Source organism: Homo sapiens, chromosome 2 (assembly GCF_000001405.40).
Source record: "Homo sapiens chromosome 2, GRCh38.p14 Primary Assembly".
Taxonomy (NCBI): Eukaryota; Metazoa; Chordata; class Mammalia; order Primates; family Hominidae; genus Homo; species Homo sapiens.
This window is the reverse complement of record NC_000002.12, coordinates 48,778,334-48,803,019: the sequence shown is the minus strand read 5'-3', so window position 1 is coordinate 48,803,019 and position 24,686 is coordinate 48,778,334. Positions and strand designations below refer to the sequence as shown.

At 39.9% G+C, this 24,686-nt stretch overlaps 1 long non-coding RNA gene and 1 pseudogene across 3 annotated transcripts in view; both read right to left on the bottom strand.

Moving 5' to 3' along the window:
• The window catches only part of LOC105374594 (uncharacterized), a 33,971-nt gene that overhangs the window by 8,316 nt on the left and 969 nt on the right, over positions 1 to 24,686 (bottom strand). The window contains exons 1-2 of one of the 3 annotated variants that reach the window (XR_001739459.1): positions 3,652 to 3,714; positions 2,169 to 2,244 (exon numbers count right to left, since the gene is read on the bottom strand). The exons of 1 other annotated variant lie outside the window; for it this stretch is intronic. This is a non-coding gene — a long non-coding RNA (uncharacterized LOC105374594). Of the gene's footprint in view, positions 1 to 2,168; positions 2,245 to 3,651; positions 3,716 to 24,686 lie in introns of those variants that run through there. One more of the 3 variants, XR_001739458.1, reaches the window with a different exon arrangement.
• Positions 22,123 to 22,418, bottom strand: ELOBP3 (elongin B pseudogene 3; annotated as a pseudogene).

The window sequence follows — 24,686 nt, the reverse complement described above, 5'->3', positions numbered from 1 at the left end:
TAATCACTGGACTTTTGATTTTCTGAATTGGGTATGAAGATGTGGGTTAGTGGTTAAATTACTCAGGGATCATCAAGGAAAGGCTAAGTGCTACTATCATGAGTATTTCTCTCTGCTCCCCAAATACATCACTTGCAAAGACATATCAGATGGAAGAACACCACACTACTATCCTGCTTGTGGGCTTAGGTCTACCTGTCCTACTCATGAGAAAGTCTAGTCTTAGTTCAGCTGGACTACTGAGAATCAAGGGAAAGGAAACTTGTATCTCACTTGGATCAGTGTACTCGTGAGGCCACTTGTGTTGGTCTCATCCAAGAAACAAACCGCAAAAACAAGATAAATCTATGAGCAGTCCAATCCCCGAAGCCCTACCCCACAGGAGATTCTCCTCCATATAGGGCCAACTTCAGAAGAGCTAGAGTTTGCTGCCATTAACTAGGAAGGTATCATTTCCTTCCAAGGTGGCACTGAGAATGCATGATGAAAGAGATCACAAGAAGAGATAAGAGAATTTTAAAGATGGATAAAGACTACCTTGTTCACAGTTCAGAGGACCATCCCTGGACATAAACTTATTGGTTAGAACGTGCTGTCATAATAAACATTCATAAAATAATAAAGGACAAATATTCCAGATATTCTTCTCTTTACAGGTGAGGTTCTCTATGCAGCAGCAATAGAATGAGGAGGAAAGCTGAAGAATGGCTCATATTGTCCATTTCTCCTCACCAATTGCATTCACTCCCACTTTCTACTTTCTCCACTGGCCCCACCATCAAAAAGCACTGGATTTCAGATCCATGGATAGCTCTTCTCCTTTTGTCCCAAAGCAAAGAGTATGTACATAAAATGTTCAGGGCACAAACACTATATTTGGGCTTCCAAAGTAGCCTACCTCATGTAAATTTTTTATTCTATGATGGTTCTCTCTCTTGTTCCTAAGCTCATCCCTGGACTAAAAATCATGACACTGTTAGAGCTTACAGGGTCTTTAAAGAACATCTGACTTGCCAAAGAAAACCAGGTCTAGAAAGGAACAGTGATTTGTCCAAGATTCCACAGTTGTTTGTGGAAAAGACACAGGCCTTTCTGTGTATTTACACAGGAGGACTGCTGCCTCTAAGGCTGGCTTCCACTGTTTTTAGCTTGATTTCACTCAATTTCGATTTATTTAGCTGTGGCCTCAAGCCACCTTCTCTGAAGGGCTTACTCAAGGCCACGCTCTCCAGAATCACCTCAAAATGCTGCTGCTGAGAGCCAACATGATTCATGAATCACTTACAAATTTCCTATATTCTTCTCTCTAAAGTATTACCAACATTAATTTTTCTTTTCCAGGCCAGCTCAAGGAAGAATAACAGCCCCTCTGTAGCCTGAGGTCCTCACTGAAACACAGCATTAGGATGAGTGAGGTGTGGAAGTCAGCCTGGGCAGGAGACTTCCACAGAGCTGTTCTCAGACCACTGAATCTACAGTTTCACAGCAAATGAGATTGGAAATTTCACCTTCTATGCTTGATCTTTAGGTTTAAGACTTTTGTCCTTGTGAAAATGCAAATATCGGCTGGGTGTAGTGGCTCACACCTGTAATCCCAGCACTTTGGGAGGCCGAGGCGGGCAGATCACCTGAGATCAGGAGTTCAAGACTGGCCTGGCCAACATGGCGAAAACTTGTCTCTACTAAAAATACAAAAAAAAAAAAAAAACAAAAACCAGCCGTGGTGGTGGGTCTCTGTAACCCCAGCTACTCAAGAGGCTGAGGCAAGAGAATCATTTGAAACCAGGAGTCGGAGGTTGCAGTGAGCAGAGATCACGCCACTGCACTCCAGGCTGGGCAACAGAGTGGGACTCCGTCTCAAAAAAAAAAAAGAAACGAAAAAGAAAATGCAAATATCCCTGTCAATGGGTGGATCATTATAGAGCATCAACAAATGATCAGAATGCATAGGTGATAGGAAGGGAAGAGAGAGCAAATAGCAAAAGGCCAATGTTGGAGAAGGCAAAGATGAGAAGAAGAAAAATAAGGAAAGAGGTCCTCCAAGGGCTGAGAGGTTAGAAGACAAAACAGAGAACCCTAGGGAAGCATTTTGGCCCACCCCATCCCTCACCACTGCACTTAGCTTTTAAATAGTAGCTTTCCCTGTCTTCTTGGCTATTTACAGTTACCTTATTAACGAGGTGGATCCTGTGATTCCCATTGCATCTCCATTTGCAAAAAATAGAGATGCCCAAATAGCTCCACCTTGAGAAGAGATTTGGAATTATTTCACCATCACCACCACCTTCAGCCATTCAGGATTCCAACATTTTTGATCCTAAATACCTAGAGGTTGTGGGCTATGTCCCCTGCCTAGAAAAATAAGGGGGCTTTCTCAAAAGTTTTATGCGTTAAGTTCAACAGAGGAAACACAGACAAAAAAAGAAAAAACAAAAACAAACAAACAAACAAAAACCTCCAGTCTTTTCCCAGCTTTGTTGTAGGAGAAATAGGGTTAAAAAATTACCTTTAGTTATCTGGGTTTCATGGTTTAACATAAATATTTTTTGTCTTCTTCTTCTTTCTATTTCCTGTTTCTTGATAGACTACTACAGTGAGTTAGAGAAAAGGCAGTCTTTGGATACAGTCCCCACAAGACTGCTCCCACTTCAGACATCGGTTGCAAGTTCAGAGGTCCCCAGGGCCACCCACACTTCAGACTAGCTGGTTAAAAAATTGGGGATTCCCACAATCACCCTTAGGTTCAAAAATTTCCTAGAATGGCTCACAGAATTCAGGAAAATATCACACTTTGGATCACAGTTTTATTATAGCAAAAGGATACAAATTAGAGCCAGCCAAAGAAAGAGTGAAGCACAGAGTAAGATCTGGGAGATTTCCAAACACAAAGTTTCCACTATCCTCAGGGACTTGTTACCCTCCTAGCATTGATGTGTGACAACTCACCCAGAGTATTCCCAAGCAGGGAAGTGCACCCAAGCTTCAGTGTCCAGAGTATTTGGGTTTTTTTTTTGTTTGTTTGTTTGTTTCATTATACAAGCACGATTGATTAAATCAGCGCCCTCCCGAATGAACTCAATCTCCAGCCTCCCTCTCCTCCCAAAAGGTAAGGCTGATATCACGTGGCTGAAAGCCCAAACCCTCTAATCACATGCTTGGCATTTCTAGCATGGACAGCCTCCCCCCGAGTCATCTCACTGGCATACACTATCAGGTCAGGTGCAGTCTGAGGAATCCGCTATGAATAGCAAAGACACTCCTATCATTCTGGAAAGTCCAAGGGTTAGAGATTATCTTCCAGGGGCAGGGACAAAGGTCAGGCCTCTCATTGTGTAAATTTAATTCTTCACTACATAAAAAAGCCCTAATATATATATAAAACATATTTAAAAGGTGTAAATCACTCATAGTGGATAGTAGGCTCTATTATAATACATACCACAATATATTATTTTAATAAATGTCAAACATCTAATGAAGAAAGTGATTGATTCCATTGCTTAAGTAGGGCTCTATGAGGTAAAAATGACCTGCTTAGGCTAACTATAAACTGGGCTTTTTAAACAGAGTCAAACCTAATCCTTCCACATTGACCTCCCAGATGAGTTAAAATGAATGAGGGTGGTAGAAGAAACAAGCATGTATTGTTACCTTGAAACCAAATGGTTGGAGGTGATAAAACTCTCCAAAAATATCCAAGGACTCTCCTTTTTTCTGGCAAAAAAAAAAGTACAAAACATAAAAAATCAAATTATGTGTCCCTTGTGTTAACAGGAGAAATTCCAAATGTTCCCTGCTGGTTCTTGAAAAGTGCAGTTTCATAGCCTTGCCCTGTGCCAAGGCTAGGGTGAGGCTCCCCGGACCATCCATCATAGCCTCTCCTTCATGGCCCTTTCCCATGAGCCCACAGAAGGGATGTAAAATTCTTGTGATAGCAGATGTTCAAATTAGACTTAGAATGCTTTTGTGAAAAATTGCAGCAGCTCTGAGACATATTCCTCTAAAGATTTCAAAGAGCGTATTCTTTCCATGTGCTTGTTTTTAAAGAAAAGTAATGAGCCTTCAGCCTTGCTTTCCTAGATGCATTTCCTTTCCTCAAGTTTTCCAAAATTTCAATCCAATTATATTAATATAGTGTACCTAAAACTCTTCAAAGAATAGTAGGGAGTCATAGAAAAAGGAGAAGTGGTCCCCACCTTCAGTTTATAATCCATCTCAGGAAATAATACTAGCATATTCAGATCCTTTAAATAGGAAAACAATGTGACATTTAAGTCAGTATCTCAAACTCTTGGAACCAGGCAATCCTCTTGCCTCAGCCTCCCAAAATGCTGCGATTAGAGGTGGAGCCACAGTGCCCAGCCATTCAAGTCAGTTTCAAGAAAAAATAGTTAACATAATGAATATCTTAAGAATTCAAGGTGAAGAAAAATTGAGGCTTGACTAAATATGAAGAAAGCCTTCTCAAAGGATGTGAAAGTTAAGTTAGGCCTTGAGAAAGAATAGGAACTTTAGCCCACAGCAAATGGGGAAGGGAGAGACATTCCAGAAAGAAAAGCTAGCATATGAGAAGGTATAGACGTAGGAGAGAGAAAAATGTTTACTTATCTAGGGAAGTTTTTTTTTCGGGGGGCGGGGGTAGGGCAGGTAAGGGATAACCTGATAGAGAAGTAAAAAGCATCCGTGCCCCTGCCCCTGAGAACTTTGAAGTCTATAGTTTTTTAGAAATATTCAGATTAGAGATAGAGGATTTATAACTAGTTGTCTTATTACTAAAATGGACCTGCAAATGCTTACATGACAGAAGAACTATGAACAAATATTGGAATAGGTATTTGAATAGGACTACAGCATCCATTCTATTATGGAGGAAAATTATTTCTTAGAGAACTATATTCCTTAATTATGTGTTAGCTCAAAAGATACTTTTCTCACCCCAAGTTCCTACTGTGAAATATAATACTGGGTGAAATTCAAGCACATAAACAGGTATTCACAAGCCAAACAGCATCAGAGGAAAACAACTTAGAGGGAGAATTCTATTTTAACAAATGTCCTTCGAAGTTCCAGCCACACTGGGCACAGGCCAATAACTCAAACTAACATTATTTTATTGTCACAAGTCTGAGAAGGCAGGATAATACACTGGGTAGTAGAATTGGGATCCAGTGTAAAATGTGACATTACATGATGGTTCAAGCCCAACCAGATGCATTTTAACAGGAATAAACTCAATGCTCAAGTGTACAATGTAGAAAATATGTCCTGATATCATAGATTAAAAAAGAAAAACCTAAAAGTCATAAATATAATACGGTTGTACCTAGAGAGCAAAAGCAAACTTGGGCTGTGTTAAAAGCAGGTCAGTGTCCAGAGGCAGGGAGGAGATTGTCTGATCTGTTCTGCACAGGTAGCATCACCTGGGCTCACCACACACTTTAAATAGGAGCACAGAGATCCAGAGGTAAGTCAAGAGCAATCTATGAGCTTTCACCTGGAAAAAAAAAATCAATCTAGGGAAAAAGGAACATAATTGTTGACTTCAGTATCTGTGCTAAACAGGCGGGATTAGATTGGTTCTCTACTGTGCAGTTCCCCAACTTTCCAAACCAAAAATCAAGACACAAATAGTTTTTGTGCCACTTCTGAGTGTAAGACTTAACCTAGGATATATGGTTTGAATACGGAGAGCTGGAAGTTCCAGCATGACCCTGTGATAGCTTATAAAATAGTAAGTATTTGAAATCAGATATTATGTTCTAGAAAATCTGGGGCTTATAGTCACAGAATACAATTATAATGAATTAGAAGAAATTCTAAGACAATAAATTCCAGCTCATTATGAGGGAAAATATTCTAACAGAAAGAGTAATCCAAAAATCAAATGCTCTACCTCAGGGGGTACAGATTTTTGCAATAAATATTTATTGTGAACTTGCTAACAACCATTATCCTGCCCTAAAGTCATTCAGGGTCTAGGGTAGAAGCTAAGCAAGGGAATAGACAACGACAATGCTCAAGATTAAAAAAACAAAAGAAAAGTGTAATAGAGGTAAGAAAAAATGTAGAACAGGAGCCTGCATAGTGAAGAGTGGGGAAAATGATGCTTGAATTTAATCTCAAGGTTTGGTTGCAATATAAAAATTTATTAGATTGGAGTCACCCAGGAATCAGAGATATAAGTGGAGAGGGCATTGTCATAATGCAGGAATGATACAGCAATGGCCTGAGCTAGGGCAGAGCTAGGGGTGTTAAAGAGCAATTAATATTAAAGAACCATTAAAGAAGCAGAATAAACAGGACTTCAATTAGGCTATGAGTATGAATGGTGTCAATGATAGCTGGGTTTCCTTGAAAGATGGTAGTTCCATTCAGCCAGATAACAGACAACAAGGACTTTCGCCAAATATGAATTTAGTCCTGGACAGGTTGAATTAGGAAAGTCTGGAAAAACAACCTCGTGCAGGTGTGCAAACAGTTGAATACGTGGGTCTAGCATTCAAATAAAAGAAAAAGAAAGAATTAAAAGACAAAGTTGAGGATATCTCATAGGAGGTATATCAAAAAGACATATCAATAAAAACTAGGAGATCTAAGCAGTCAAACATCCAAAACGAGGAATTCTTAATAAGTAGAGAAAATACAGGATGGTTGAGGGAATTGTCAAAGAAAAAGATATAAGAGTATTTTTGAAGGAAACAAATTTCCAGATTAAGAAGTCCAAAGGCCCAACATAATGATGAAAAAGAAATTCACAGCATGACATGACTATGAATTTTAAGAATCCTGAGTATAAAGTAAAGATTCTAAGAAGAAAAAACAAATAACATACAAAGAACTAGAAATAAGAATGGCATCAGACTTCTCAACAGCAACACTGAAAATTAGAAGACAGTGAGGTATGTCTTCAAAGTAATCTGAGAAAAAAATGCCTAACTTACAATTCTATACCCAGCCAAACAGTGAATCAAGAGTGAAAATAGAGTTATTTCCTTACATGCAAGGTCTCAAAAAATATACTTCTTATGCATTCTTTCTCAGGAAACTTCTAGAGGATAAGTTCCTACAAAACAAAATAATTACTGCCAAAAAGAAAGAGGAACATATGGGAGCCACACAACAGTGGGCACAGGATAAAGGAGGTCAATAGAATTCCCACTATAATAAGAAAGCAAATCCCATGACTACAGCTGGGCAGCCATTTTATAGAGCAGCCAGTCCAGATTAAAGCAGAAAAGAAAAAGGCTCTGAGAGACAGGTTTCCAGAAGAAAATAAAAGTGATAGATTTTCTGATAGGCTTATAGTGTGGAAGATTGGATTGAGAATAATTTTATAGTTACTGAAGGATATAGGAAGACTTAGCAACAGACTGGAAGAAAGGTAAGTAAATTTAATAACAAAACAAAAAGAACCAAAAGTTGAGTCATTCATAACATAGCTCTGGGCTCAGCATTGAGCAATGTTATGTTGACAATTATTAATTATGAAAATAATGAATATAGATGTGATCAAATGCATTATAAAATTATATTAGGAAGATACAAGGTGATGAAATATGCATGAGCAATGAATAACATCAGAAATCTATTTCTGGGTAATAAATCATCCCAAAACTTAGTTAAAACAACTGAAGTCTGCTTATGAATCTGTAGCTTAGCAATTTGGACTGGGCTCAGACAGTTCTTCGCTCCCATGGCTGTTATCTGGGGGACTCCAGATGACCTCACACTCATGTTTTGGGACTGGTGCTGGCTGTCTACTGGTAGGCCTAAGAGCCTCAGCTAGGATGCCTTGTCTGTGTTTCAAGTATCTTATCACCCTTCAGTCAGATCGGGTTTGTTTACATGACAGCCTCAGAGGAGTGTTCCAAGAGCAGAGGTGAAATGGTTCTTCAAGTCTAGGTTTAGAGGTCCCACAGGGTCATTGCCAGAACATTCTCTTGGTCAAAGGAAATCATATGGCCAGTCTAGATTGTATGGGTAGAAAAACAGATCCTACCTCTTGACAGGAGGAGCTACAAAGGCACTTTGGAAAGCGGTATGCACACAGGGATGGGAGAATTTGTTGTAGCCACTTTTTCAAAGACTCCACCATAATGATATGTAAGAAGTAAGCCTTTATCTTCTATAATGGGAAGTGAGTATAATGGCCAATGTAGGAAAATCAGCAAATCCATATGAAATTTGTAAATATGGTAAACAGAACAAACAGCTGAAGAGTTTAAAGTGGGTGACTTTGAAGAAGCGGTCTGGGTGAAGAGAGGCAGGACAGGTGACTGCTGTTCTTTGTTATAAGCTGTCTATAACTTTTTGACTTTCAAACTATGAAATTTGATTACTTTGAAAAGCAAAACAAAAGTAAAATGTTTGGCTGTACTAGCAATTCCATTTCTGAATATATACCCCAAAGAACTAAAAGCAGAGACTCAAACAGATATAGCACTGTTCATAGCAGTATTATACATACCAGCCAAAGGAGGAAACAACCTAAATGTCCATCAACAGATGAACAGATGAACAAAATGTGATATACACATATAATGGAATATTACTAAACCTTAAAAAAGAAGGAAATTCTGACACATGCTCTAACATGGATGAACCCTGAAGATGTTATGCTAAGTGAAATAAGCCAGACACACAAAAAAATAACTATCATATTACACCACTTGCATCAGGAACCTAGAGTAGTGAGAGTTAGTCAGAAGCATAGAGATAGAAGGTAGAATGGTGGTTGCCAGGGACTGGTGGGGAAGGGAGAACGGTGAGTTATTATTTTTTTATTTTATTTTTTATTTTTTGAAACAGAGTCTTATTCTGTGGACCAGGCTATAGCGCAGTGGCACGATCTAGGCTCACTGCAACCTCTGCCTCCCGGGTTCAAGCGATTCTCCTGCCTCAGCCTCCTGAGTAGCTGGGATTACAGACGCGCACCACGCCCGCCTAATTTTTTCTTTCTTTCTTTTTTTTTTTTTTTTTTTTTTTGTAGTAGAGACGGGGTTTTACCATACTGGCCAGGCTGGTCTCGAACTCCTGACCTCATGATCCACCCGTCTCAGCCTCCCAAAGTGCTGGGATTACAGGTGTGAGCCATGGCACCCAGCCGGAATTTCATGAAAGAGTTCTGAAAATAGTGGTGATGATTGCACAACAATGTAAATATACACAACAACGCTGAACTATCCACTTAAAAATGATTAAATGGTAAATTTATTTTATGTATATTTTACCTCAATAAAAAATAAACAAGTGCTGCAGGAAAAAACAAACAAACAAAAAACTTTGGCTACTAAGGGAAAGAAAGGTAGTAAGTGGTTAATAAGAGAGGCATGATGTTAAGGACTGGACTTTGTTTGCTTTTCCCTCTTTCTTTTTTTCTTTTCTTCTTTTTTTAAGAATAGAGACGTCTTGAGTTTTTTATGCGCTAAGTGAAAAGAACCAGTATAAAGCTGAGGTTTGACACAGCTGATAGGGGGATAACTGGTAGAGAGAAGCATCTGCTAAAGGAGTATCTGGGCAATTGAGGCTTGCCTGCACTGGCTTGTGCTAAAGATTGTTTGAGTAAGCCCCTGGTGAGCTGTCACAGACTGGAGCAATGACTGCCTTCCACTCCTGAGAGCTCTGCAAAATCAGACATGCCTCACAAAATCCTATGGAGTAAAATATGTCACCTGACAGGAGCATTCACCAATCTCTTACCATTTATGCGTTTATCACTCAATCTGCTTGCTGAACTAGTTGGAGGAAAGAGTATTTTTTATAGATTGTATGGTCAAAATATTGGTCATCTGTTTTAAGAGGAAACTTAACTGCATTCATTGTTATTGTTTTTCTAAAGAGTGGACTATAACTACTTCCCTTATTTTCTAGGATGATTTAAGGAGCAAACTCTCTGGCCATCATAGGAAAAGGATGGCTTTTGAACGGTTTTGAGCTTTTGGCTTCTGGGGTCATCAGAGTCCATTGCAAATGAATAACAGCAGAATCAGTATGGGGGCTGAGGAGGTGAAACAAGAAAAGAGGAGTGTCTCTGAGATAAATCAAAAGAGAAATGAGATTTTTTCCAAACTAAAAAGAGGTCACAGGTCTTAGTGAATCTTGCTCAGTCCTCACCTAATTAGCCCATTGCCTTCGCCTCTATCCATAACAGTACCTAATCTTTAAGAGTGATATGACCTTTGGTGCCATATGGAGCTGTGAAGAGAAAGGAAAACTGAGTGTTCTAGAGACCTGGTCTGAGACAGAGGTGACACCATATTACCTAGCTTGAAATACTGGGCTTATATGAAACAATCTCGATAAAATCTGATATACTTTGCAAAGTGTGATGTTACTGATTTAGGAGAAGAAAGATGATGATGGCATATATAAAATCACCAAACATTCTTATTCTATTGAAAAAGCAATTCTTTGCACCAGGTTTGATATGAGAGAGTTGGCAAAATATCTTCAAACTGCGACCCTTCCTCAAAGACATAAACCATATCATTTTACAAATAAAGAATAAGAAAATACTGCAATTATGCTTATTTTTCAGTCACACTGACAGCCACATTCATCTATATTCTTAACAGCAAATGTAATTATGAAGAGTGCGAAACAAAGAAACAACTATTTAGATGCCACTTTTCCTAGCTTTTATCTGTGGGCACCGACTTATATTTCAAATGACATTATATTTCCTGGTTTCCCTTATCCAGAAATTCTAGGGACAGCCTTAGCCTCTGACCCAATGAGGGTCTCATCCTAGATCATGGTGGCAGGACTCAAGGTCTTGCAATCTGTGTGTTTCCATGACAACCAGGCACCATTATAGAGTCTGCCTCTTCGAGAGACATTTTATAGCCTTTTTTCTGGAGAAAAAGGAAAGAGGAAAAGAAAAGAAAGGAGAAGGAGAAAGATAGGCAGGTGGGGAAAATAAAAGGGAAAGGAAGTAAGAAAAGAGAGAACATGATACTAGAGAGAAGATGAAAAGCCATTAAATATGGAGATAGCACATCAAACAGCCTAAAGCGTACATACACTTTATTTGCAATCAGAAAGACTTCAGGGAACTTTCAACGATATTTTTTTCTTTCTCTATTTCTCACTTTTTTCATTCTGAAGTTCCCAGCACCCTGGCTTTTCTCAATGTTTTATCTGCATGAAAGTTCCTCTTGGAATTTCAATCAACCAGCACTGTCAAGTTTTTCCCTTTCCTTTTTACATTTACTATATAAAAATGAGCAGGGGGTCAACTGCAACTGAAGGAAATCACTAATCATTACAATACTCAAATTGCAGCCCCCTGGTGTATGAAAAATTGCTTTTTTACTGCAGCCAAACGTGTGCTGGGTTCATCCAGAACTTTACTATGAAAGGGAGCACAGATATTCGTCCTACTACAATCTTGCCAGCAATTGTAGAAAACTCATGAGACTAGAATGGATCTTCAAGATGCTGCAGAAACAACAATAACCACACACACACACAGAGAGAGAGAGAGAGAGAGATAGACAGTTTGTTCTCTGAGCAGTTTCCCTTCTGTCACTTAACAATACCCACTCTCCCTCCCTTTTGATTTATTAAAAGTGGCACTGCATTGCTCCTAAGTTCTTTAGTTCTTCCTTTCCACTTACAGGCAATTACTTTGAAAACTGTACAAAAATTGCAATAAAGTATTGCTCAATTCTTGAAAATATTTTACATCCCTTCTAGGAGAAGGACAGAGAATAGGAGAGTGAAAAGTCATACCAGTATTTTTTTTCCAGAAAATCTGTGAGGAGAAAAATACATTTCATAATAGTTAATATTCTCTTCAACTGCATCCCTTTAAATTTCCAAAGGAACAGTGATACAGTTTTCAGCCTACTTATGTTTGGATTTTACAAAGAAATCTGAGGACATCTAATTTAATGATAAAAGAAAACAATTTAGGACCAAATTAACTGGTTATTTTATGCTCTACCCCTCTGCTTCTCTCAGTCATACAAAAATGCTAAAAGAAATGTGAGAAAGACAAAGAAGAGTGTTGAGTGAATTCGCCCCCACACACAGCTTGCACACAGCAGGCCGGAGAAAGTGCTGCATCCTACAGGGAGAATATGCGAGGCAGTAGGAAATGAGGGTGAAGAAGAGAGGAAAGCAGGTCCAAGGAGAGTCTGACGAGGGTGGGAAATTGAAATATGTGGAGAGAAGGTGAGAGAGAGATGGTAAACGCAGAGTAAGGTGGAGAAGAAAAAGAACAGGATTTTTTTTAAGAGAGGAAAGTGGAGAAGCAGAGAGGAGAAAGAAAAGGAGCAAAGTATAAATGACAGCAAGACAGCAAATAATACTGCCATATAGAAACAGAAAGAATTGGTCAAAGGAGAAATGGTAGTATTGAGATGACGACACATCCACGCCTGCCAGGAAGACCTTGCTCTCATCTAAAATGGCGGCCATCGAAGCCTTCCTGCTCTGGGTTCCTTTGAATTCTTGAGCCAGTGCCCCTGAGGATGATCTGATTAATGAATTGTGGCGGGACCTCATTGCATCTTAACGATTTAGGATTTTCGTTTCACTTCCTGCCTGTGGTTATGGATCTTTTATCTGCTTTATCTGTGAAGCCTAACGAATTCCTGTTAAGTCTTTATAGCACTTGTCCTTTCCACTTAAATCTTCCCCCGATCCTATTTACCAAGTTTACAGTTCAGAGTGTTGTGTGCTAAATTGCTTGTGTTTTTACAACCATCACTAAATGCTGACTCTAGAAAGTGGTTAAGTTGCCAAGAGGAGAATCCTTGGGCAAGGAATAAGTAGAGCCTTATAGGTAGTGCATCCTTCCTTCTTCCATCTGCTGTGTCTGCTGTCGTTGGTGCAGAGATTCAATATGCACTGAGGGGTCCTCCTAGGACCTCTGCTTTCCTAAGGTCTGAAAGGAGGGAGGTTAAGTGAAATGGATTAGCAGTCAGTAGGCCGAAATTCTGTCCCAGACTTGCCATGACAAACCAGGTGAGCTAGTCCAAGTTGCTTAAGCTCTCTGAGCTGCAGTCTTCTCATCTGTAAATTGGGATCAGTATACCTCCCTCTTCTACAGGAAAGCTGGGAGAGAAACATGGTACAATTAGGGAATAACAAAAAAGGTGGTGTGATGGCTACAGTCGGTGATACTAAGGGACTGAAGATAAAAAGGAACAGGTACGGTGGAGTCAGATAAAACATGCCTTGAATCTCTCTATGCTTCTCAGTTCCCCACCTGTAATGTGAGTAGAAATTATGCCATAATTTTTTATACAGACATTGGGAGAATGTTTTAGCCCTTTGGATGTATAAAAAGTGCTAAGGAATCCAAAAGGGCTGCGTCCCTGCTCTAATCACCAACACCCTCCTGCAACCCCAGTCCTTCGATGTCTTGTCTCCTGAATTCCCCTAGCTCTGCATATAGGCCTATCTCTGTTATGGCTAAAGCAGTACCAAGGAAATCACTGGCTGCTCACAGTGCCTCTCAGCACAGGATATTCAGAATCATTTTATCATGAGGTCCAGGATCCTTAGAGAAGTATGCCAAATGTACCTCCGTCAAATAGTTTCATTACAAAAACAGAGCCCTGTTAAGACAAAACAGCAACATTTGGAAAGACTATGGTGTTTAGTGTGCTGCCACTTATTTCCAACCCAGTGCCACGTCTTAGTCATTGTCTCTCTTGCATTACTTTCTTCTCCTTCTATCCTTGCCTTCAGAGATAATAAAGTTCTCAAGTTAGGAATTCCATCAATAGTGAAATTTTCAAAAAGGAAAGATACCCTAATACTGTGAGGTATAACGTACTACTAAAACAACTCAAATATCCTTCTAGGTCTGTGTGCTTGGATTCAAACTACTAGGTAAAATTTAAGTAACATCTGACACCAAATATTTCGCTATTTAATTTTTAATTGTTAAAGCTAACACAGTCTCTGAAATACACAGAGGCCCACAAAAAAACCCATTAATATGGAATAAAGAAATGAATGAGCTAATTAACTAAACTAAAATGCAAATACTCCAAAGAATGGTAACTCATTAAGCATCTTTATTAGTCTTTAAACCTTTTTGTGAATGCAACTTTTTTAGGGGAAAAAATTGAGAGGAAATAAACAACAATCACTGAATGTGGACTACATGCTTAGTGCTTTCTAGACACGTTACACAACTACTTATGTAGGATTCATATGTTTAATCCTCACACCAACCCAGGACATATTGACATCATGCTTATTTTACATCTGGGGAGATGAGGCTGAGAGAGTTTATGTGACTTGCCTTGGGTCACAAAGTTGGTAGAAATGGGGAGAGTAGGAGGGTCCTAGGTGCTTAAAGTAAAGAATGGCAAGGAAACATTGTGAAAAAGGATAATGGGCCCAGCAAGGAGCACCTAGATATCCAAAGATAAATTTTGGTGACTTAATAAATTTGGAAGACTGCCCTACAACTCAGTCTCCTACTTAGTTCATGCCATTTCCTCATTCATTCATTCATACTACAAATAGTTACTGAATTCCTACTACATGCAAGGCAGTGTGCCCACTATTGCAGGATGATATCAAGATGGAAAATATGGAACTCTGTTCTCCATGGGCTTACAGCCTAGCAGGGGAGAATATATATGCGTAGAATCCTGGTATTTTTAATGCAAGTAGATAATTATGTCTGCTAAGAAGAGCAGAGATAAAGCCCTATGACCATTTGGAAGAAAAAGAGACAGCTTTTAAATAGTGAGGGTTAAGGAACGCTTCCTAAAATAGATTGCCCAGAAGGATGGCCAGATTTTATATATGTAGAGAAAGGAAGGAAGGGCATTCTAAGTGGGGAAACAGAACCAACAAAAGTACAAAGCAGGAGAACATAGAACATGTGTGAAGAGAGAGTGGTTTCATTTCACATCTTTATTTATAGTCCAGAATTCTTTCACAAGCGCTAGATTGATTTTCTAACTGCATGCAAGATATCTCTTCTTAAAGTTTCCAGGACAATCTCAGATTTGGTACAACCAACACTGAAGTCACGTGTTCTCTATGTTTGCTAATGATACTATCTTCTTGCCAGTCACCAAACTTGAAACCTTATTGTCACCTTTGACCCCTTCTCCTTTGTCCTTATTTCCAACCCAGTGCCAAGTCTTACTCATTGTCTCTCTTGCATTACTTTCTTTACCCAGGCCCCTCACCACAGTCTCCTGTAGCATCTAGTCTTACTGCCTCCTGCCTCCACTGCCATCAATTAAGTACTTTGGAGGCATAGTCGTGATCACGTGACTGTCCTCGTTTTAACGCACTCTATTCAGAGTTTACCACAAACGTTCATTGAACACTTTTCATGTGCCAGACACTATGCTAGCTGCTTTGTGTGTATTACCTCGTCTAATGTTTGTATCAGCAGTAGAGGTAGGATTTTTATCAGCACCGTTTTATGTAGGCACGCTGGAAGGAGCTTAATCTGCTCTTTCCACTGTGGTACAGGTATATCTGGGCATATCTGGAGGATCTGGGCCCAATCTACATTTTCAACCTCATATTCTGCTTTTTTCCTTTGTAGAGGAGGAAAATGATTTTTTCCTTCTGCCCATTGTAGGTTCATTGCCCAGAGCCCTTGTAACAAAAGACAGATTAACAAAAGAAAAATATACTAATTTATTTATCATAGGTCTATGTGACACAGGAGCTTTTATTAGAAAATGAAGACCTGAAGAAGAGGTCAAAACTGAGTGTTTTTATACTAAGTTTGATGAAGAGTGGAAAGCTGTGAAGAAATGAAATAAGACAAAGGGAGTATGAGCTAAGTGTAATAAACTGGAGGAAACAGAGAGGTTTGTTTTATCAGATTTCTCTTAGCATCCCTGTGTTGTCTTCAGGGATAAGTGTGCTTCTTTCCTCCATGTATAGGGAGGGCACCTCTCACATGAGGATCACAGGAGAGGGCAGTATTCAGTCCAAAAGAACAAAGTATTTCAAGAAGGAAATGGGTAGTGAGCAGGACAAAATGACCAAAGAGAAGTGGCTTGAGCAGAGGACTTCATTGATCTCTTCAAGAGCACATTTGGTGAGGAGTTAAAGAATAAAGAGTAAATGAAGTGTATATGTGCCACATTTTCTTAATCCGGTCTATCATTGATGGACATTTGGATTGGTTCCAAGTCTTTGCTATGAAGTAAGATGGAATGAAAGCAGCAGGAACAAGCTACTCTTTTGAGAGGTCTGGCAGTATGAGGGAAGGAAAAAAGAGAACCCCTTTGTCAAGGGAGGGATGTTAGGATGCTGCAATCACCTGAGCACCTTCCCAGGCAGAAAGGGAAGAGGCAGGAAAAGGAACACTGACGGCATAAGAAATAGGAACCCTTCGCAGCTCTTTCCAAAAGATTCACCAGACAATGAAGTTAAGGGAAGAATTACCCTATACCATTTAAAGTAAGATTTAACTTGAAAACATTTCCTTTTTTGGAAAATATATATGTCTTAAAACAGGGTATGCCATCACTAAGAGGTTTGATGTCTTAGCAGGTGACTAAATGGCAGAATGGCAAAAAATTAGACAATATACTTCTTCCAAGAGCCCTCATGACCTGCCAGGACCTGCCATGTCTTGTATAAGTTGATATTAAGTGCTTAATTTCAGTATAACTATAAGCTAACAAAGAATGACTCATGATAAGCTACTTCAAAGGAGTCTTCATTTGAAACATTTCTATAAGGTCTTGCTAGAATGTGTAAAAATCCATGGGACCATCAGAGAAGGGACAAAAGTTGTTGAATGAAACTACTAATATCTGAGTAACAAAACTGAAAAGTGTTTATTGAGGAATCAGACTTGGAAATCCCTACTCCCCATTCTTATTTAGAGGGACAAAGATAAAACATACACATGTTCCTGTTTAAATATTGCCAATAACTTAATCACTTTAATCTTATTTTGGTACCACAAATGATTATCTTAAATATTTGGGGCTCTGGCTTTCATTAATTTAAATCCAGTATTTTTTCATGTGGACATTTACTTTTAATCAGCCTCTACAAATGAGCCTGATTACTGTAAGTATTAATAATAATAATAAACTTGTTAATGACTTCTTTTCCCTCTTAAGTTACAGGATTAAGCACCACCATTTATTTATACTCATTAGCATTTTCTTGACTGGAGAAACTAAATCAAATGCAAATGCAAGCTTATTTTCTATGCACAGCCACACAAACTTGTCAACAAATTTTTCCATTCTTTTCTTGTTTTCCCACTTTTATGTGCATGCCAGAAAGCCATTCACTCTACTCTCCAAAGTAAACTGGGCTTATGTCAGATAATCATCAGGGGAGAGTGAGGGGCCAGATCACTTGTACCACCACCATCATTAGTTATAGCAACAGCTGCTATTGAACACTCACAGGCCAGGCACTGTTTTTGAACTCCATGTACATCTTGAATAAAATCTGTGAGGTAGATACTCATAGGATGTCCATTTTGCAGATAAGGAAACTGAGATGTAGAGGAGGTTAAATAGAAAATGGCAGGGTTCCTGTCTCTTGGTTTCCAAAGTTGGTAGTCTCAGTCACTGGACTGCCAACTCACCCATGAAATACTCACATTATTTTGCAAGACCCCCAGCTGTACATCCTTCAGAAAGTAAATGACCCAGGCCAAGATGAATCTGAGACAAAATTAAGCCAAGAAAGTGGATGCCATTTTAAATCCACCCACAGTCATGTTGAGCATCAGGTAAAAGGACCAACTCCTGGGACCTAGAGGGGTCTGATCATCAATAGTCTGGGGCCTTGGAGGAAGGAGCCTCTAACTTCCCAGTCATTGACTGAGCCACAAACCAACCCAGTAGCCAAAGACAGATGTAGGGAATATGCACAGACTGATAAAGCCACAGTTGCTGGGAGCAGATATTGAGACAAGTCCAGTGTCACCCTACAGAAGAGACTGGGGCGACAATATATTAAAAGCCTAACAGAGACAATCAATCCCAGGTGAGTGGTATAAAAGCTCTAAAACAATATGGTTCCAGATTTTCTTTTTCTGACTTTATCAAGTGTCTCCTGTTCCATTCTGCCCATTCTTCCCTCCACTCTGGCCCCTGCCCAAGGCACAGCTTTACACACCTGTGACTCCCAACCATGTTCAGACCATTTATAATTTCCCAGCTCCAACACCTTTCACTATATACCAGATCTAGCTCTGCTACCTCTACTCCTGATCCCTTGGACAAGATGACCATTCATTTTGTTGCCCCTAAAGAATACATAGTTGTCAGATCCCAGTTCCTTCTGGGAGTAAATCTCAGGATTAAGTTTGGCAAGATATTTACACATTCTTACCTTTAGGCTAGGCCTAATTCAAAATCAAAACCTCAAAAAGCAGCAGAAGACAGCAACCAGGCTTTTTCAACTTTTCATGGGCTTAGCAAATCCTAAAGGCTTGAAAGCAAGAAAGGAGTCCCAAAGTTGGTTTAACATACCAAAGTCAATCGATGTAATACACCATATTAATATGATAAAGTATAAAACCAAATGATCATCTCAATAGATGCAGAAAAAGTATTTGACAATATCCAACACCGTTAATGGTAAAATAATTTTAAAATCAAGATAGTGTAGTACTGACATAAGGACAGGCGTATGGGTCAATGGAATAAAACTGAGAGTCTAGAAATAACCAAACATATTTATGAACAAATGATTTTAGACATGCATGCCAAGACAATTCACTGGGGGAAAGATGGTCTTTCAAGACATGGTGCTAAGACAACTGGATAAAAAATTGGACTCCTACCTCATACCATCCACAAAAGCTAACTCAAAATAAACCTAAATATAGGAACTACAATTGTAAAGCTACCAGAAGAAAACGCAGGAGTAAATCTCTGTAACTTTCAGAGCTGGGCACGGTAGCATGCACTTGTGGTCCTAGCTACCCAGGAGGCTGCAGCCAGAGGATCACTCAAGTCTAGGAGCTGGAGGCTGCAGTCAGCTATGACCATGCCACTGCACTCCAGCCTGGGTGACAGAGCAAGACCCTGTCTCTAGAAAAAAAATGAGCAATCTTTGTAACTTTAGGTTAGGCAATGGTTTCTCAGATATGACACCAAAAGTACAAGCAACAAAATATAGATAAATTGGACTTCAGCAAAATTAAAAACTTTTGTGCACCAAATGGTATAATCAAGAAAGTGGAAAGACAACTTATAGCATGGGAAAAAAATATTTGCAGATTTTATATCTGACAAGATACTTGTACCTACAATATACAAAGAACACTTACAACTCCCCAACAAACAGAAAAACAATTCAATTAAAAATGGGCAAAGCGAGGCCGGGCGCAGTGGCTCACGCCTGTAAACCCAGCACTTTGGGAGGCCGAGGCGGGTGGATCACGAGGTCAGGAGATCGAGACTATCCTGGCTAACACGGAGAAATCCCGTCTACACTAAAAATACAAAAAAAAAAAAAAAAATTAGCTGGGCATGGTGGCAGGCGCCTGTAGTCCCAGCTACTCAGGGAGGCTGAGGCAGGAGAATGGCGTGAACCCCGGAGGCACAGCTTGCAGTGAACCGAGACTGCACCACTGCACTGCAGCCTGGGCGACAGAGTGAGACTCCGTCTCAAAAAAATAAAAAAAATGGGCAAAGGGGGCCAGGCACGGGGTTCTCACCTATAATCCCAGACTTTAGGAGGCTGAGGTGGATGGCTTGAACTTAGGAGTTTGAGGAGGCCAGCCTGGGCAACATAGTGAAACCCCATGTCGACAAAAATAATTTAAAACATCAACTGGGCATGGTGGCGTAAGCCTGTGTTCCCAGCTACTTGGTAGGCTGAGGTGGGGAAGACCACTTGAGCCTGAAAGGTTGAGGCTGCAGTGAGCCATGATTACACCATTGCACTCCAGCCTGGGTGGCATAGTGAGACCCTGTCTCAAAGAAAAAAAAATGGGCAAAGGATTTGAATAGAAATTTATCCAAAGAAGACATATAAATGGCCAATAAGCACATAAAAAGATGTTCAATATTATTAATCATTAGTGAAAGGCAAATCAAAGCCACAATGAGATGTCACTTCACACCCAATAGGATGGTTATAATCAAAAGGAGAGCCAACAAGAAGTGATGCTGAGGATGTGGAGAAATTGGAACCTTCATAAATGACTGGTGGACTGTAAAATGGTACAACCATATTGGAAAACGGTTGGACAGTTCCTCAAACAGTTAAGAACAGAGTTACCATAGCAATTCCACTCCTAGATATACACTCAAGAGAAATAAAAACTTACATTCACCTAAAAATTTGTATACAAATGTTCATAGCAGCATTACTTGTAATAGTCAAAAAGTGAAAACAACCCAAATGTCAACTGAACGACGAATGGATAAACAAAATAAGGTATATCCATTAAACATAATATAATCTGACAATACAAAAGAATAAAGTACTGCCACTTGCTATGACATGGAGGAAACTTGAAAATAGTATGCTATGTGAAGAAAAGCCAGACACACACAAAAATACACATACTGTATGATTCCATGTATATGAAATGTACAGAATAAGCAAATCCATAAAAACAGAAAGTAGTGTAGTGCCTGGGGATGGATCAGGAGAATGAGAGAAGGGAGCAAGAAGAAAGAGTAAGTGCTAACGTACACAGTTTCTTCTAGAGGTTCTTAAAATTGTTCTAAAATTAGATTGTGATGATAGTTTTTCCTTGAGTTTTTAATTTAGAACAAAAAAAACACAAAGAAAAGTAGTTGATGGCATGCCCAAATTCAGGTCTCTCCACCACATTGAAGAACAGGAACCTGGTAGAAGATGTAAAAATAAGTCCACTCTTTTCATTTATGTTCCATATAAACTTATATGGATCTACTCTACATAGTCATATGCTTTCAAAACTTTACAGGATAACAAACAAATGGTGTCCATCAGAAATCTGGAATGTAATCCCCATCTCTGTCAGTAGCTTGCTGTAGGACTGGTTTACATCAAAACCTGTACATTATTTCCTCATTAATAATGTATCCCTGTTCTGTGTGCCTGCACAAGTGTCAAATAAGCAACAAGAAAAAAAAATGGAAACCTTTCATGTGTTCAGAATACCCATGGATAAATCCATCTGAATGTATCTGAAGAGCTGGTAAAAGAGCCGCCAGGCTGTGCCAAGAGCAGTAATGTGCTGGAGAAGGCTCATTCCACTTCTCAAGAGCCAACCATGCTCCTCTCATCCACACTCTATATTCAATGACATCACATGAGTAGCTTGAGATCAGCCATAGTTTTAGAATGACATCCACTTTCTCAGCTTAATTTAGTCCAAGGTGTCTCACGGCTTGAGCAATTTCCTTTCTGAAGACCTTTCAGTAAGGGAACTTATGAACTAATGTGTCTTATGAGCAGTCCAGTGATTAAAAGCATCTGCTTTGGAGTCTGAGAGACAGAGGCTCCAGTCCTGTCTGGCTCTGCCATTTCCTAATTACTTAACCTCTTTTCCAGAGAGCTGGTTTACCAGCACAGCACTGGCAGCTTCCAAGGAAGCCTCTCATTTTAATGGCATCATGGCTCACAGCTTGACTTAAAGACCATGGGTTAGGACCTAATAGAAAGGCCATTTTGAAGACAAAACAGTGTCTGTCACTCAAAATTGTCCTCCAGCAGAGAGTGAGTCCTAGATAACAAGGGGCTATAATGAGGAGCAGATGCTTCTTAAAGATTCCTGCACCATATGGAACAAGAGCCCAGGGTATCCCTCAGGTTTCTTTACTGGCAGGCAGCTAGCAGAAGCTAGGGCAAGTTGTGGAGCACTCTGCAGAATCAAGTGGACCCTGCCCAAGCTGGGTTTGGACTAGCTCACATTTGGAATAAATGGAAAGGAAAACGAGACAGCCACTTGTGGACTTGTGAATTAGTTTGCACACACACACACACACACACACACACTGCTTACTAACATGAACAACCTGCTTCAAGGGTCTGATGGCTCATTCTTATTCTTTGTGATCCCTGCTGACTCTTCTCCAAAGCCCAAGAAACTTAAACTCTTAGGTCAGATGGATGGCTCTTTTATTTATTTACTTATTTTTTTAGATACCCAATTATCTTTTATTGAGGCCTCTCTGGGGTAGGTCAAATAAGCCTTCCTCACTGGAAGGCTTATTTATTGGTGCTGCTTCCTGAGTCCTGGGGATTCATCACATCAGGCAGCATGGGTGGGCTGAAGAAGGGCTCGATGTGCAGGGCCTCATAGGTGTCTCTGACCCGACCCAGAAATCCAGCCCCACTGCAGCTGTGGCCTGTGGCTGGGGAAGCCAAACTCATGCATCGTCTTGCCATCACCAGGAGCTGGTCACCCTTGTACAGCCGTTGCTAATCAGGCAGCCATTTCAGGATATCTTCAACAGCATGGTGCTGGACTCCTTGATGTCCGTGAAGACGGTGGTCATGGCCCCAGCCCAGCCCTACTCTTTTTTAATAACAGCTTTATTGAGACCTAATTCACACATCATACAATTCACCCTTTTAAAATGTATAATTTGGTGGGTTTTAGTATATTCACAGAGTTCTACGACCATTACCAATATGTAATTTTAGAACATTTTCATCACCCTAAAAAGAAACCCCACACACATAGGCAATCACTACCCATTTCTCCCTCCCCCAGCCCCTGACAACTACTAACCTACTTTTTGTCTCTATGGATTTGCCTATTCTGAACATTTCACAAAAATATAAAAATTCAACATATGTCCTTTTGCAACTAGCTTCTCTCGTTTAGCATAATGTTTTAAAGGTTCATCTATTCTGGAGCATGTATCAGTACTTCATTCCTTTTTATTGAAAAATGATGTTCCATTACATGAATATACTACATACTGTTCATCCATTTGTCATCTGATAGACATTTGGGTTGTTTCTACTTTTAGCTATTATAAATAATGCTCCCGTGAACATTCATGTACAAGTTGGTGCCCAACTCTTTAGGCATTTGAATCTTTCCTGGCTGTGCTCCTGGGCAGATAAATGGACCTGCAATAACACGTCTCTTTTAGGCTCCCCTAGCACTTTCTTCTCCATTCTGTACTTTTTCAAGAAAACAGGTTGATACTCTTTGCTGGTCTCCCTGCCTCTAAGCTCTCTCCAAGTCTAGTTCTCCACACATTTTGACATCAGGTATATTTTTATTGGAATTGATCTTTATGGCATCAATTCCATGCTCAAGAGCTTTGGCTAACACTCAAAGCCTAGAAGCCCCTGTCTCTTCACACCACCAATCCCTACCTTCATTCAATCTCTGTTTATCAGGAGTCACCTTGCAAATCTCTCTGCTATCTTATGCCCACCTCATCATTTATCCATCAAACATTACTGAATTCCTAGGCACGGTGCTGGGTACTGGAGGCATCAAGAGATGACTGAAAAAGATCCCTAGCCTTGAGTTCATTTTCTGGATCCGAATGGAGTAGGGAGGGTTGGTGGTATTGGAAAGGGTGAGTAGACATGTTAACGGAGAACAAATAAGCAATATGCAGAAATGGACTATTGGTCCAGTCCTGTTGGTGACTCATCCAACCCTCTTAGAATCTTTTTCTAACTCCAGATGAAGTTTTTGATAAAACTTTTTTGGCACAGGATTTTTATAACTGAAATTTTGTGAACTCTTTTTTTATTTTATTTGCACAAGAATACAAAAAAAAAAAAAGAGTAAGCAAGTAAGCAAGCTCCATTTGCCCCAGGCAATGCTGAGGCTAGAAAGTGGGAGGCATTCTCAGATTGCCCTGAACAGTCACATCTGTATGTCGTCAGGATTATCAAAATTGCCATGACAATGACCCAAAGGTTCTTCCTCAGATAAACCCTGCAAATACTCAGCAGATTTCAGCCAGACTCAACTGCATGCCCTTGAGGTTTGCAGTTTGCATGCTGTAAAAAAGCTGGAAGTGGGGGTGGGAGGGTGGAAGGAGGAGGTAGGATGTGAAGCAAAGGGCAAGAGGCCAGCTGAGGCTGCACAACCTTGGAATAATGTTTAGCTCAAATATGAAGAGAGCTCACTTGACATCCTGACTTTGTCTTTCTTTAGAAATGCTGAGGTAGATCTGTAAGCAGCTTCAGGTCAAACTGTTAAGTGTCTAAAAGTCTCAGAACTCTTCCCCATCTATTGACCAGAGGAGGATGGACCTGTGAAGAGGGAAGGTACGTGTAGTGTTTTATTCCCCAGAGAGTCTTCCTCAGACCCTATACCTAGGGCTTGGCCCCTTGACAAACTCTGATATCATTACATTTAGTCTTCAGAGTCCTGGCCTCCAGTTTCTTGACTCTCCTAGCCTCATTTTCAGACCTGATTCAAATGGAGACCTGTTCCTCTCATTGGATGAACACACTTAGGCCCAGAAAGTGAAGAGACTAGATACTCTTCAGCTGGGGATGCTGTAGATGAAATACTTTCATCAAAAGAAGGTTGGATAAGATGATCCCTAATTTTATTCCAATCAAAGGTTCTACAATTCTAAGATTTACCCAAAGGGACCCAGCTATTTTGAGGCAAAGTTTGGACCAGATCCCCGGTCTCTCCCCTCCCAATCCAGAAGCCACTGGAGAATGAGCCCCAGTACATCTTTGATGATGAGCTTATCACCAATTTGGATTTTTAGCTCAGATCTTAAACATCTGTTAAGTACCATGTAGACATTATCTTCACAGTTTTCATGAGA